The following is a 16686-nucleotide window of genomic DNA, read 5'->3' as shown; positions in this document are numbered from 1 at the left end:
ATAGAACTGTGACTTATATTTCACAATTTAAATCGATGATTTTATACACTTTAAAAGTTCAATAATATTTCCTACCATTATAAGTTTTTTTCTTTTTTTGGAAAATTTCAAGGGGACATACCTCAACCTTTCCCCAGTGCTTTGTGAATATTGTCATCTCTAACGATATTTCTCCAATTTCTTGGAGGAGCTGTGATAACATCTAGGCTTTACCTTACATTGACTTTGAACAAATGGAACTCAAAAGGCTAAATGAAACATAGATTAGTCAGAAATCTGAAATACTGTAAAGGGTTGTGGCAGATAATTTAAATGAAAGTTATTTTGATTGTCACTAAAAGTAACAATTGAGTGTCATGCTGACATGCATGATACAATAAGCCCCTGGCAGTTGTGGATTTAACATTCATCATTTTGAATGTTCTTAAATGACCCTGAAAGTCCATAAGATGGAGTAATTTGTAATTTTGATGAGGCACAAATTTCAATTGCCTGAACTGGGAGGCAGGCATGAGTCATTTAACTGGATATCATGACTTTAATTCTCTACTTGTTTCCTTGTAGTTTTGTGGATTTGGGAATTTCCAAAGTTCTCAGAGATTTCTTCACAAACATTTGTATAATTAATACAGTGTTAGAAACACTTAACAATGGTAGTAAAGGGGTAAATGGTACAAATACATAGAAATATTTGAAGAATTATAACCAGCATAGAACACTGACATGTTGAGAAAACTCAATGAATACTTATTTGTACTGATTTATTACTAAATGGAATAATGTATGTTAAGCATCTAACACAATGTCTGACACATGGTGGGGTGTTCTTTAAGTCTGAATTTCCTTTTCTTTGCTTCTTGTTTGCTGTTGAAACATTTATATGGTAGCTTCCACTTACAGATAATTTTTTTTAATTAGATAAAGGAAGAAAATACCAGAGACTATCACTGTTTTTTGTTGTTGTTGTTTTTAATTTTCCAGGATTTCAGCAATGTTTAGTGCAAAATCTGCTTAGGATAAGGAGTCTCTGTTGTAAAGCCCACACTTGATTTAGCAGTCTATATTTATGTATAGCGACAGAGGCATTGATTATACATTCTCTTAATCTGCAGCATCACAGTGTGACAGGATTAGGAATCTGGTCCCATATGCAGATGTTAGGGTGTGTGGCAAAATTGAGACACTTCAATAAATTTGCTTTTGAAGATTAGAAATGGGTGCTTGATACACCCATTTGGCTTTTCTCGGTGTCTGAACACAGAATCTCAGTAATCCTTCTGATGGCAATCTCATTAATGTGTCTTTCAGATCACATTACATTTACACACATATCATGTCTGCTTAAAAATCAGATAAGCCTAGGTTTCATTAAGATGGTCTTTTTTAAATGAGTGAATATTTCAATAAATGACACTTATTAAATAACTTTTCTCAAAGATTTGGTAATTTACATATTTTGCAGATATTCAAATGAAAACTGGTCCAAAATACAGCCATTATTGCTCTAAAACTCAGGAAGCTGAGTGTTTTTTGACACATCCCTGTAACAGATTTTCATAATGAGAGGATCCTAAGATTTTGTCTTTGTGTTTGGACATTTTTGGGGGGAGGAGTGTTGTTAATAACATCTTGCTCCCACCTGGGTTTCTAAAGTACTATAGTTTCACAGGAGTGACAAACAATAGAAATCAGCCAATTGTTTGGTCATCAAAATATGAATATGGTAATTCACACCAACCGCTACTGTTCCTTCACTCAAAATAATGAGAAGCCAGTTATACATTTGCATGAAAATTGAAATTTAGGGTGGCATTACAGTTGTAATCTGCTCTTCCACCCCCTCCCCCTTTAACTGCCTTAGGTTTGCAAACTGCTTCAGCAACCATCAGCCAAGAAATGTGCATGTCATCTGCAAATCACAGATCACAGATCTTGAGTGATTGTAGCGGGAGAAGTGCTCAAGGGTTCACAGTGGCCAGAACAAGACTTAAAAGTGATGCAAAATAGGGAGCAAAGAGGGCTGCAATTGCCTTGGAGCCTAAAATAGACTGAGCTTCAATGCCACCGAAAAAATCACCAGCCTCTCCATCATTTCTTTAAAGGTCAAAATTTTTGTAGGTGGACTGGGAGAGCAGCAGATTGCAGATGCGTTTAACAGCAGGGTATTTTCTGCTGCCATGACCAGTTAAGGAAAATTTTCAAAAACACACTAGCTGGTAAACAGTTTGGCCCTACTCTGGGTCATCTGCCTTCTACGGTCTCCTTGCTGCCTGGATTCTTACCTGGGTAGAGTCCCAAACCTCACATCAGTCAAAGTTAGGCTTTCAGCACAGTCTATTATGGTTTTTAGAGAGGTACCTCAGTGGCTTTCAGGGAGGTTTTATGGTGTGGGGCTGCTTCTTTAGAAATGCATGAAGCACACGCATGAGGCATACAGGCCCAGAGCATGAACTCACACCATTTCTTCTTCATGCTGCTGGTCAACAGGTGGGCACCTTGGCCAAACGCACATTGCCAAGTACCTCATGCAAGCCAGCTATGCTCAGTAACTCCCTCTGTTGAACTGCCCAACGGAACTGGAGGGGACCAGCTATTTGGTTGCCTCTTAGGGAGGTCACCCAATGGTCTACCATGTTATACTCACCTGTTACCTGTTATAAAACCAGTAAGTTATTTGGCAAACCCATCCTGAACCCATGGTCAGAGTCAGATTGAGGATGGAAAATCTTCCACATCTGCCCACATTTTTCACACCAGTCTGCAAGGGCACACATCAAAAATGATAAAGATCCAGGAGCTCTTTCAAGCTCTTCCAGATCTCACAGGTTTCCATAGACAGCAGATTTCCAGGTGTGAATAGAGGAAGACAAGACCCCAGTGTAGCTAAATTCTTTTTTTTTACTGCAACCTCCACCTCCCAGGTTCAAGTGATTCTCCTATCTCAGCCTCCCGAGTAGCTGGGATTACAGGTGCCCACCACCACACCCGGCTAATTTTTGTATTTTTAGTAGAGATGTGGCATGAGCCACCACGCCCGGCCTGTAGCTAAATTCTTAATGTTTTTCCTCTGAGCGACAAACATGCTGGAAACCACCTATTCCACAAATTTTCTCTGTCCCAAATACCTTGGATTGAAATGAAAGCTCAACGTCAGTTAGAAATTACACCTTATCTAACATTCCTGCCTGCAGCAACCAGTAAGTAATACACTGGCACATGTGGATGAAGGAGGCCACAAGTGGGCCCCTAGGAAGAACGTGTGTGCTAGCAGCTTACTGTTCAAAACCGTCTTAAAGATACTATTCATAGTATTAATGGAGCCATGCATTCACATTGGGTTGGCAAAGTATTTAGTGTGACCTATCCTGGGCGTGGGGCTTCCTGAGGATGACTCATATTTTCCAAAAGGACATTATCCGGCAGGAGATCCTGATGATCTTTCCACTTGGAAGGGACACAGGATGTTCTCCCTCTAACACTTCTCAGCACCTACTTTTCCATTTGACAAAGAAACGGCAGGCATTAACATTAACTTTTTGTATTCAATCCTTTATGGTTATCACAAGCAGAAGAGAGTGGTAACTGAGGCAGGGACATGGTTGTATAAACTTAAGTTACTTTAGCTATCTGTGCCTCAGTCCCTCACCTAAAATAAAAGAATAATAGCATGAATCCATAGGGTTGTTGTGAAGATTACACAAGTTAATATATAAAAATTGCTTAGAATGGTGCCTGGTACATAGTAAGTACTCAGACATAAATTCAGTTTAAAAGACTGTGCTGCTGCTGTTGCTGCTGCTGTTGTTATATCTTTGCAGCACCTTATCCACCATCTTTCACTGTATGGAGCCAAGGGAGAGAGAAGCAAGGAAGACTGGTGAAAAAGTGAGATGAGGGAGCAGGCTATAGCAGTCATGGCAGATCAACAGAGTCCATGGGGTTTCATTCATTTGCAAATGTTGTTTGTATCTTCCGCTCTAGTTTTTATTTTATCTTTTCAACTCCTGTAGCTCACTTTCTGTCTTCATGTACATCTAGGTCTTTCATAGGGACAAAATAAGATACTTTCAAGAGTTTTCAGAAGTCAGTGCAGACATAAGAATGAGTAAAGCCAGGACACACCCATGTAAGAACCAATGTGGGTACTGGAAATGTGGGTACCGGAAGGGAAGGTGGCAATATAGTGCTTAGAGTCCCAGTATTTATCCTTACACCACAGTAATTCTGGTGAATGAGAACACAACAAAGGAAAGGGAGGAATTTCATTTGGAATCATTAATCCACTCATGCCACTTTCTTAGCCCTTAATCATTAAGGGATCCAAGCAAAGAAGCTTTCATCCAGCCTGGGAGATGCAGAGCAGTATGCTGCTTGTGCCAGCACTGCCTCTGCCTGCTGCTTTAAAAATGCCCAGAGCCCAAACCTGGGAGGAAAGCAAGTGGTAGTTTATGCTAAAATGCTAAAGCCATTTGAAAGCAAATGCATATAATAGAAAGAATTTAAGCAGCTGGTGGATGTCATTACATTCATTTCTCAAGGAGGCCTGTCTTCTGGTGACACCAATCAAAGAACTAGGTCATCTCTCAACAGTAATTTTCTTGGAGGCCATGAAATTCTTGCATTGATTTCATCTCCCTTTGGCTGAACATGCACTGAGAACAGCCAAGCTGGTGAGGGCTCAGGCAGCCCATGGGGCTGTCATCAACTCCATCTGAAGGGTTTATATCCTTAATGGGATCAGAGGTCTTATCGGCGATTCTTCATAAGTGCAACAGAGAAACTATCTTTCTTTCACCACTGATTCCACACCTGACAATTCTCCTATTTATCAGTTAACAATTATTGTCTGAGAGCAAGTCAATTACAAGAGAAATTTATGAAGTCCTTAGCAACTAAGAAGAAACTTGATGGAATCTTATCTATTCTGTTCAGAAAATGAAATGTGAACTGTCTGAAGACAGTACTGACTTCACATATATTAGCACCACATCATAATACATATCATTAGGACATTAATTCTTGTGCTTCTGTATATATCAAACAAGTTGTAACTATATGAGGGGGAATTAGAAGCTACGGTTGCTGTAAAAGGAGGGCATTAGTCCTGGCCCCCTTCTTTGTGAACCCTTCCCAGCACCCTAGGAAGAGTTGCACTCTCAACAAATTCATGTCATGACTCAGGATTTGTGGTGGTGTCATTTATCTCTTTACTCTTTGCTAACAGTAATGGATCCCTCTTTGAGAAAAGGAGCCACATTTTATTCAACCTACTCCCCCCAGTGTCTAGCATAAGCATGGCACATAGAAGGGGCTTGAGGACATTGTTCTGATGTGTTAGAATAGTGCCTGGTACATAGTAAGCCTCTAATGTTTCTCTTCAGCCTACAGACATTAGCATCGTTAAAGAAAAAATTGTCCAATGACGCTTATTAAAGAACAGTAAGGCAGAATTTAATTCAAGGGGAGGATTCATGGTAAGTAGAGGGACCACTGCAATAGGGTCTTGCAGGGAGAGATTGAGCTCAACTCCAACTCCCTCAAGGACAAGTGGGGATTTATAGCCAAGGAGAAGGGTAAGAGTCAGCGAATGTAAAATACTGAGAAGAAACATCAGGGGTAGGTGGGACTCTTGCTAGACCAACTCAATGGAATTCTTGCTGAAGATGGACCAACATAATAAGATGTGGAGAGGGGTCAGATACCAACAGTGGGAAAGTTAGTCAGTTCACTAAACTGACATACTAGGATTATTGCTCAAATTAAATACTACAAGGACAGAGGGAAGCCCAAGTCCAGGCCTAGTCAAGCAGAGGTCTCAGAGGAGCCTGATTAAAGTTAGTTCAAGAAGAGAGTCTTTTTCAGCATTTTGAAGGGCTTCCCCTCTCATTCTCTAAAGCTCTGGCTAACAAATATTCATGAAATTCCTAATCACCATTCTAGACACCAGGGTCCATTTTGTACCCTGAATTCAGAGAACCTAAGGACAGCTACAGAAGGAGACCTTTCTGCAAAGAAAGTATGCACTTCCAATTTCATTGTATTGTGTTGTAGATGCTCTGACCTCCACCTTTCAGTCATGGAAAGGAAGGAGATATTTTGAATAGTTCTTTTTAAGGAATATCTGCCGTTCCATCTCCCCGCCTTGTTCTGACCATTGTGGCAACCACCAACTGGCACCTGACAGCAGCTTGATTCAGTTGCTACATATAATCTGGCTTTCTGTCCTGGAATTTTTTCTGCCACCAGAGACACCCACTCAGCCATCCCTGGGCATGCTGGAGAGGTTCATACTCCCTGAAGGCCACTCTTTTCCAGTGGCATATGAGAGCCAATAGATGATTATGGCTGTCTGACAGTTCTAAGGCACATTCACAAGGCTTTCCAGGCTGTCCCCAAGAAGAAGGACCCCCAGTTTCCTACAGTGGTAATCAGTGCAATAACACACCCGGGAACTGGTCTTTCTTCTACCTTTCAGTCTTCTCAGTTGTCTCACTTTTGTCTCTTGAACTACTTCCCAAAAGAAACCACCTTCTCGCAAGCCCTTGTCACAGGCCTCACTCTTTGGGAAAAAGCAGGCAAAGTCCAAGCCATGGTGTGACTAAACCATCCAAATAGCCTATTTAAGTGAGTATTTTGACTAGGTTCAGGTTTGATTATGATGACAAATAAAATGAAGGAGTGTAATGCCTTAGTCTACATTCTCATAAAATGCAAAGTGTGTATAAACAATTCTATAATTAAGTATATAAAATTAACCATTCCACAAATTTTAACTATTCTTTAGTAATTTCTATTCTTCTTTTGGATTTATACAAGAAATCAAGCGAATAACACATTTTCCTATGCACCTATCTATAAAGGTCAATGAATAGCTACTTCCCAAGAAGCAATGAACTTAAATGTTGCTGTATCTCTGGAGACAGAAATAGATTTGTCCAGACTAAAGTAAAATCGATGTTGACTTTGCCTGGGTTTTTCTCCATATCTACTTCCCTTTTAATGATGTTCATCGTGTTTGAGATTATTTGCTTATTGTTTGTTGTTCCACTAGGCTGAAGCACTGTGATGTTGAGTCTGTGTTTGCTTCCTTTAAAAGTATATCCTTAGTATTAAGAAAATGTGGCACATATACACCATGGAATACTATGCAGCCATAAAAAATGATGCATTCATGTCCTTTGTAGGGACATGGATGAAGCTGGAAACCATCATTCTCAGCAAACTATCGCAAGGACAAAAAACCAAACACTGCTGTTCTCACTTGTAGGTGGGAATTGAACAATGAGAACACTTGGACACAGGAAGGGGAACATCACACACCGGGGCCTGTTGTGGGGTGGGGGCAGCGGGGAGGGATAGCATTGGGAGATATAACTAATGTAAATGACGAGTTAATGGGTGCAGCACACCAAGATGGCACATGTATAGATATGTAACAAACCGGCGCGTTGTGCATATGTACCCTAGAACTTAAAGTATAATTTAAAAATATATATATACATATATAAAGTATATCCTTAGCACTTGATTGTGCGTCTGGCACACAGTGGGTCTTCAATGAGGTTTACTGAATTTAATGGAGTGAAATCAAATTTAACTCTACAAGATATAAAATGCCTGACAAAATCTGAACCACTCGTGTGATTACTTAAAGACCATCCCACATAGAATCAGTCACCTGTGTTCATGTTAGTTAAGGAAGGCTCTGGTTTAATTGAGCCACAAGCCCCTTAGAGAGTAGAAACACAGCAAAGGTGCACGCTCATCAGGAGAGAACCTGGGATAAAGAAGTCTGATTTTGCTTACACTCAAATAGGAACTCTAATATTAACTCTCTCTTTCTAGCAAAGTCACTCCATTTCTCTGAGTTATCTTTGCCATTAGTAAAATGAGAATAATATTAAATCTTGAATTCCTCGAGCTGAAAAGCAAAGTCAGTCAAGTAGCCAATGAACCTACCTAGAATACATAGCTGAGGATTGGTTGTCACTTTAATTTCAAAAAGTATATGACCAAGATACTTGTCCATAATCTTTTACAGTATTAAAAAACTATTCAAAATTTCTTCTTTATGTTCAAATAAAATCTTTCCTGTTAAATTTTATCTTTGATGGAAAAGGAGAACAAATGGAGCCTTCCCATAAAAACTCTTTCTCCTCTTTTCTTCCCCACACAAAGTAACTCTATTTTTTTTTTTTTTTTTTTTTTTTTTTGAGATGCAGTTTTGCTCTTGTTGCCCAGGCTGGAGTGCAATGGCGTGATCTTGGCTCGCCGCAACCTCTGCCTCCTGGGTTCAAGTAATTTTCCTGCCTCAGCCTCCCGAATAGCCGGGATTACAGGTGCCCACCACCACGCCCGGCTAATTTTTTTTTTTTTTGTATTTTTAGTAGAAATGGGGTTTCACCATGTTGGCCAGGCTGGTCTCGAACTCCTGACCTCAGGTGATCCACCCATTTCGGCCTCCCAAAGTGCTGGGACCTAGAGAGAGCTTGCACAAGGCTCAGTTTGTAGCTTGTATATATCTTCCTTCAGTCCTTTCCCCTGACTGTCAGATTGGGAAAACAATAAGAACAAAATCTTGTCTTTATCTCTATACAAGAACCAAATCATGTCCAATTAATGACCACTTGTATTATTTACAAGCTCAAGGTAAGGAGACACTGGTGCCATTGTCTTTGGGTCATGGAATGCATTTTGAAATTTCATGGGGGAGGTAAAAGTTAGAATATAGGGGATAAAATATATTCTGCAAATAGTGATGATATATCACCAAACCCAATACACATCTTGGAAATGATCACAATATCAAGGCCTGTAATTTAAAATGATAATATGTCAGATTTTAAGTGGACCCCACCTTAGTCACATAACCACCTCACTCTTTCCTTAAAGAATGACCAAGACACGGGAAGAATCTATACTGTGATTCCCCAAATTGTCCTGAAGATAGATACACTGAGGCCACAAAGTTTCAGTCACAGAAATTTAGAAAGACATTAATTAGGTATCTGAGGGCACTTCTTCTAATGGGAAAACAATGATTTGCTTCTAATTTATAGATCTATTTTAAAGAAATTCAAAGCTGTTCATCAGAAACCAGGATTTTTTAAACTTTCACTCAATAGTTATAAAAGAATAATAATTTGAATAATCTTTCCTTCTCAAGTTAATCCTTTAGCATAGGTGTGTAGATCTATTTGCTGCCAAGTTAAGCTCCAAGACATTACTTCCTATCTAGATGCCATTAATAATGTATTGTCTAATAAGTGAAGAACTTCACAAATGACTCAAAAACAAACAAATGGGGAGCGGGAATTTTCTCCAACAACTTCTTGCATTCTAGAAATGATTGATGGTTTCAGAAATGTATTGTTGAACTGACAGATGATCAAATTAATTCATTTTTAAAACGATTTAGGAATAGAATTTAGAATTATAACAATTCTAAATCTTCTGAGGTTGAAATCACTGCCATTAATAAAGTTATTCTGATATGTTTTCCCAAGCCTTATCTGTTCTTTTCCAATATAAATGATAAATACTCTTTAAAGGTTATTTTTATGAAATATTTTAGACACAAAAAATATAGAGGAAAATACAACAAATATTTCAGTCCTTGCCACCAGGTGTAAGAAATAAAACATCATAACTACAATTGAAGAACTTCTGTGTACCTTTTCTTATTCCATTCCCTTCTTTCTTCCTACCACCAAACACTCATCTGTGCATGTTTTTACATCCTACACTTGAATGAATCCCCAAAACAGACACTACTCTTTTATGTACACCAAAACTTTATGCAAATGGCATCACACTCTGTGTCAACAACTTGCTTTTACTAATATAATATTGTATGTAAAATTTATCCACATTGATATATGTAGTTTGTTTATTTATTTAAACTGCTAGATAGTATGAATTTACCTCAATTTTTTATCCATTCTATTCCTGATTAATATTTAAGATTTTTTTCTAATTTTCACTTTTACAATGTCACAATGAGTATTCTTATATATGCAACTTGTGCAAGACTTTCTCTATGGTAGAATTTCTAGAACATTTAGTTGATAAGTATTATCAAATTGTTCTCTAAAGTATAAATTGCCCCAATTTACACTCCTACCAGCAAGATATAATCCCCACTGACCCACTTTCTTGCATGACTTGGTATGTTCAACATTTTCATATTTGCCATTCTAATAAGTGTGAAGTGATATTTTACTAGATTTTAATTTGCATTTCTCCAACTCTTATCTTTGTGAGAATACAGGCCCAAGCATAAGATAATCGGAAAATGTTGTCTCCACTATCTCACTCCTCACCCCTCATTCTGCTGGGAAACTCAGAGAACTTGCATATCAGAGGACCCTACTGTTGTTTCCCTCCATGTGGAGGTGTGACAATCATGACCTCCTCCTCCCAGTGTTAAGTCAGAAACTATGAAGGGTCTGAGATTTTACCTACTTGGAAGCTAACAAGTTAGCCTGCCATAGTTTTATATACATATACTGACAGAAGACACAAGACCCCTGGGTCAGAGAAACAGACCATTTATTACTCACAGCATGACTCCTGTCTCATAGAATTACTTGGTAAGTCGTATACACAAGACTGAACTAAGCTACCCACCATCACCTCTTGTTCCTTCATACTTGGGATAAATGACCAGTATTGCAATCCTCATTTGCCTTCTGAGGCAACAGAGGAAATCCACTATCCTGAAACCCTTTTTATTTCTACAGTAGCCATGCATATCAACAGAGAAAATTTTTGATATCGTATTTTTAGTCCTTTGTTTTTAGTTTAACCTATTACAAGCTTGGCACTGTGGCATAGACTCCAGTAAGACACTATTTCACCTATTTTTGAATACCAGTTTTGCCATTTAATAGCTGAGTGACCTTAAGCAAGTTTCTTAATTTCTCTGAGATTCTATGTCCCCATCTGTAAAATGATGATAATAGTGCTTATGTCAAAGGGTTGACAGACTCGGATGAGCTAATACAGGTAAAGTACATGATACGTAATAAAGACCTTGGTGTTAACAGCTATTTTTACTTCAAAAGGCAACCTTCCCTTTTGTGGAAGAATGTTAATTCCCCAAATTTTGCAACAACTACTGCCCTGATGCTATTCCAATTATTGGTTTCAGGGATGCTTCAGATTTGGCAGATAATAACGACTGCCAGTTATTGAGTACCTACACACTACGTGTTTTCTTCAAGATAGAAATTGTACAGGTGAGGATATAGGACAAAAGAGATTAAGAAACTTGCCTACAGTCATATGGCCAGTAAATAGCAGAGTCAGGATTTGGATTCTCAACTGTTTACCTCTGAATGCTGAGCTTTTGATTATTCTTTTCTATCAACACAAAGAAGGATGTATACATTTCAACAAAGAATCCAGATACAAGAGTATCCCACTCATTTTACTCATCCATGAATGTGAATATGATGATAAACACATATCACAGGGTATGGGATAGAAAACATGCCAAATTATCTTGTGATCTTCATTATCAGGGAAGTCTGTCTCTACCAGGCATACACACACACACACACACACACACACACACACACGTACACACACAGTGTTTAAGCTTCTTCTTTTTTTTTTTTTTTTTTTTTGTGAGACGGAGTCTTGATCTGTTGCCCAGGCTGGAGTGCAATGGCACAGTCTCTGCTCACTGCAACCTCCGCCTCCAGGGTTCAAGCAATTCTCCCGCCTCAGCCTCCCAACTAGCTGGGGTTACAGGCATGCACCACCACGCCCGGCTAATTTTTGTATTTTTAGTAGAGACGGGGTTTCACCATGATGGCCAGGCTGGCCTGGAACTCCTGACCTCAGGTGATCTGCCTTCCTTGGCCTCCCAAACTGCTGGGATTACAGGCATGAGCCACCGCACCCAGCCCCTCAAGCTTCTTCTTTATTTTAACTTTCATATTAGGTTCAGGGTATGTGTGCAGGTTTGTTATATAGATAAATTGCATGTCACAGGGGTTTGGTGTACAGATTATTTTGTCATCCAGGTAATAAGCACAGTACCCAATAAGTAGTTTTTCCATCTTCATCCTCCTCCTACACTCCACCCTCAAATAGAACCCAGTATCTGTTGTTCCCTTCTTTGTGTCCATGTGTACTCAATGTATAGCTCCTACTTATAAGTGAAAACATGCAGTATTTGGTTTTCTATTCCTGCATTAGTTTACTTAGGATAATGGACTCCAGCTCCATCCATATTGCAGCAAAGGACGTGATCTCATTCATTTTTTTTTCTTTGAGACGGAGTCTCGCTCTGTCGCCAGGCTGGAGTACAGTGGCGCGATCTCGGCTCACTGCAACCTTCGCCTCCTGGGTTCAAGCAATTCTCCTGCCTCAGCCTCCCGAGTAGCTGGGACTACAGGTGCACACCACCACGCCCAGCTAATTTTTTGTATTTTAGTAGAAATGGGGTTCCGACATGTTGGCCAGGATGGTCTCAATCTCTTGACCTCATGATCTGCCCGCCTCGGCCTCCCAAAGTGCTAGGATTACAGGCATGAGCCACTGTGCTCAGCCAATCTCATTCTTTTTTATGACTATGTAGTATTCCATAGTGTATATGTACCACATTTTCTTTATCTAGTCTACTGCTGATGGGCATTTAGATTGATTCCATGTTTTTGCTATTGTGAATAGTGCTGTGATGAACATACACGTGCATGTGTCTTTATAATAGAACAATTTGTGTTTTGGGGGGTATATACCCAATAATGGGATTGCTGGGTCAAACGGTAGCTCTGTTTTAAGTTCTTTGAGCAATCACCAAACTACTTTCCACAATGGCTGGACTAATTTGCATTCCCATCAGCAGTGTATAAGCATTCTCTTTTCCTGCAACCACACAGGCATTTGTTATTTTTTTACTTTTTATTAATAGCCATTCTGACTGGTGTGAGATGGTAGCTCATTGTGGTTTTGATTTGCATTTCTCTAATGATTAGTAATGAGGAGCATTTTTAATACCATTAAGTGTTTAAGCTTCTTAAGTAAGTTTGATAGTTAGCAGAGGCTCTTGAGAAAATAATATTCAAAAATCAGTAATAGTTTAAAGATACTTCCTTTTTTCTGCTTAACTGAGAGTATCTGGAAAACCCAGCAACAATTCTAGGAAGCTTCTCTGACACAGAAAACAATCCCAGGCCAGAGACATTTGAACTTGGGCACTTTACAATCTACTTACTTTTTATTTTTCATTTTTACAATCCTTCTGCTGAGCAGCAAAATGAGTGAGACCTATAAAGGAATATTAGAATTTTTAGTGTTTTCAGATTCAGTCAGAAGGCTTTCTGATCTGAGTGATGCTTTAACTATGTTAACACAGAAATACAGCATCAATGTCAGTGGCTTAGACTTAAAGAACTATGCTTAGTATTGAATGGCATGTTTAACTTCTGCCTTTTTCATAATCTAAAGACTTATTTGAAGTTATACAATAAAAAAGATCAATGTTTAAACTCTAAAAGACTGTTAAGTTAAAAAATCTACCCCCTAAAGTCTTTCATCTTTCACTGGGTCACTATCTTAATATGTGATTAAAGCACTGTAATGCCACATGTGATGATGTGAGACTTTCTGCAGGATTAGTCCACCCACATTCAGCCTTCTGTCCTTCACTTCTTGGTTGAGCAGAATTCTACAGTATCAGCCATCATTGCCTGTCTGTTCCTCTAATTATTTAAAGTTAATTTCAAAATAAATAATTATTAGAACCTATCTATCTGTGTCATATCCATGCTATACTTTTACTTCTTTCAAAAATCATCTTCTCCCTCGTTCCTCAGATAGCTCTGCAGAAAACCTCCAATCAAATGCTTAGGAATAGAAGCTCCCTGAACTTCTATTTGGCATACTCAGTCCATAGATACTGGACTACCTATGGATACATTAAGATGCAACTCATTTCCCTGGCTATTTAAGGTATATATGAAGACTAAAATAGTTACTCTTTTTCGCTTTAGGAAGATTCTTAGTTTAACTTTTAATTACTTCCTAGGAATGACTGCCCCCACCCGATTCACTTAAGCAGATGTAACTACAACTGCAAAAACACTGTTGACTGATGTTCTCTAGAGACCTGTTCATTACCTGTCATTAAATGTTTTAAAAAGTTTGCATAATTGATCCAGCCAATAAGTCATCATTGATTTATGGGGTTCTGTGCTGAAGAGTTGCTCTTTAAAAATTCATCACACCAGTATGTGTCTTTACAATCCATTAGCTGTTTACGTACCCACAGTCTTAGCATTGATTGACCTTGGACTGAGATTCTCATGGACTTCTTTTTTTTGCAAGTCCTCAGTATAGAAAAGCAATACTTCAGCCTTATCCCTTGACAGCTATACTTTGATTTTTTCCCCTCCATCAAAATGAAAACTTTACTTGAAATGATGAATAAATAAAGCATATTCCATAAACAGCTCTTCACTATTATTTAAGCTTATGGGCTGCGTGTGTGAATCTCCTTTCCCCACCATCAGATTCAAGTGTGTAAATGTTCTAAAAGGCTTTGAAAGTTTTATGATGATTTCAGGGGATGGTGGAGTAATAGCTGAAGAGTGAAGCTATTAGTTTTAATATTTATATTGAGTGCTCTGAAACATTAATGTGACAGGATGTAAGATCAGTGCAGTGGGATATATTTACTTCACAACCACTGCCACGTGGCAAAAGGAAAAAAACTCTGTGTGTGCATTTATTTTCTAAAACTTTGAGGCCAAGTTTCAAATGTTTGTGGGGTTTTGTTTTGTTTTGTTTTGTTTTCCTTTTCACAAGATTTAAAGTTTCAGCTGACAGATAGATTTGCTTTTCTTGAACTTGAGCTACTCTTAGGAGGCAGGAATGTACTGCCAGACAAAGCTTGGCACATGGGTTTGTTAGTTTATATGAGTCTGCATTCAAATATCCTCTGAGCCTGCCATGGTAAATACTATCCACCAGATAAGTAACACTTGGTTATGCCAACTGTGTCTTGGGAAAATTTAAAGAATGATGGTTGTAAATCTGGATTGAGAAACCTTCATGGACAGCTCCTCTTAGGAACTTCGTATGGAGAAGTAAGGCAAAACATTTCCGATTCTGGACTCTGACAGCTCTGGGTTGCAGTCTCAGCTCCACCCTGACAGGCTGTGTGAACTCGTGAATGTTCCTTCACATCTTCAAGTATTGGTTATTGATTTTTTAAATGATAATTGTACCAACAACATAGTTCTTGTGATGATTAAATGAGATAATCTCTTTAAAGACCTGTCACAAATGGCATAAATATTTCCTATTATCATCACCAAAATCAAATAAGCAAATACCTTGGGAGTGCCTGTAGTGTGCAAGGCACTGCATTTGTACCTATAATCAGATTATGGGGTTCTCATTCTCAAGTAATTAATGTACTTATTAATCTTATTATTTTGTTATAATTTACTTATTAATCTTATTATTTTGTTATTAATTTACTTATTAAACTTACTAATTTATTTATTAATCTTATTATTTTGAATACTTCAGAGATATTGCAGATTTGGTTCCAGATCAACACAATAAAGCAAATCACACACAAATTTTTTGGTTTTCTGGTACGTATAAAAGTTATGTTCCCATCATACTGTATTCTATTAAGTGTGTAATAGCATTATGTCTAAAAAAAAGTTTTAAAAATGCTAACAATCATCTGAGTCATTAGCAAGTTGCAATCTTTTTGCTGGTGAAGGGTCTTACCTCAATGTTGATGGCTGCTAACTGGTCAGGTGGCAGTTGCTGAAGGTTGGGGTGGCTGTGGCAATTTATTAAAATAAGACAACAATACAACAATGAAGTATGCCACATTGATTCACTTCCTTTCATGAACAACTCCACAGTAGCATGCAATGTTGTTTGATAGCATTTTACCCACAGTAGAACTTCTTTCAAAATTGGAGTCAATCTTCTCAAATCCTACTGCTTTATCAACTATTTATGTAATATTCTAAATACTTTGCTGTCATTTTAACAATGTTCACTACATCTTCACCAAGAATAGACACTATCTCAAGAAACCTCTTCCTTTGCTTATCCATAAGAAACAATTTCTCCTCTGTTCAATTTTTATCATGAGATCCCAGCAATTCAGTCAGATTTTCAGGATCTACTTCTAATTCTAGTTCTTTTGCTATTTTCACCATGTCTACAGTTTATTCCTCCACTGAAGTCTTGACCCCCTCAAAGTCATCCATGAGAATTGGAATCAACTTCTTCCAAACTCCTGTTAATGTTTATATTTTGACTTCCTCCCATGAATCATGAATGTTCTTAATGACATCTAGAATGCTGAATCCTTCCCAGAAGGTTTTCAATTTACTTTGCCCAAATCCATTAGAGTAATCACTATCTATGGTAGCTATAGCTTCATGAAATGTATTTCTTAATAAGACTTGAAAGTTGAAATTACTCTTTGATCTTTGTTTTGCAGAAGGATGTGAAAACAACATTCATCTCCTTGTACATCTCCATCTGAGTTCTTGGTTGACTAGGTACATTGTCAATGAACAGTAATATTGTGAAAGGAATCTTTTTTTCTGAACAGTAGGTCTCAACTCTGGGCTTAGAATATTCAGTAAACCATGCTGTAAACAGATGTGCTGTCATCCAAGATTTGTTGTTCCATGTATA

General features: G+C 38.2%; 1 long non-coding RNA gene across 2 annotated transcripts in view, besides 2 other annotated features; it reads right to left on the bottom strand.

Annotated features, from left to right (window-relative positions):
• LOC105378849 (uncharacterized) overlaps positions 1 to 16686 on the bottom strand; it is a 65806-nt gene that overhangs the window by 7271 nt on the left and 41849 nt on the right. For both annotated transcript variants that reach the window (XR_007066216.1, XR_947588.4), the window contains exon 2: positions 13226 to 13278. This is a non-coding gene — a long non-coding RNA (uncharacterized LOC105378849). The remainder of the gene's footprint in view (positions 1 to 13225; positions 13279 to 16686) is intronic.
• Positions 1651 to 2225: an enhancer, noted in NCBI's record as "NANOG hESC enhancer chr1:90741293-90741867 (GRCh37/hg19 assembly coordinates)". NCBI's record gives its function as "activates a minimal SCP1, AML or CMV promoter by ChIP-STARR-seq in naive H9 embryonic stem cells {active_cell/tissue: H9 hESC(naive)}" and the evidence as "EXISTENCE:reporter gene assay evidence [ECO:0000049][PMID:30033119]".
• Positions 3644 to 4145: an enhancer, noted in NCBI's record as "NANOG hESC enhancer chr1:90739373-90739874 (GRCh37/hg19 assembly coordinates)". NCBI's record gives its function as "activates a minimal SCP1, AML or CMV promoter by ChIP-STARR-seq in primed H9 embryonic stem cells {active_cell/tissue: H9 hESC(primed)}" and the evidence as "EXISTENCE:reporter gene assay evidence [ECO:0000049][PMID:30033119]".

The sequence above is a fragment of the Homo sapiens genome, chromosome 1 (assembly GCF_000001405.40).
Source record: "Homo sapiens chromosome 1, GRCh38.p14 Primary Assembly".
NCBI lineage: Eukaryota > Metazoa > Chordata > Mammalia > Primates > Hominidae > Homo > Homo sapiens.
The sequence above is the reverse complement of the archived record's forward strand: the minus strand, read 5'-3'. Positions and strand labels throughout refer to the sequence as shown.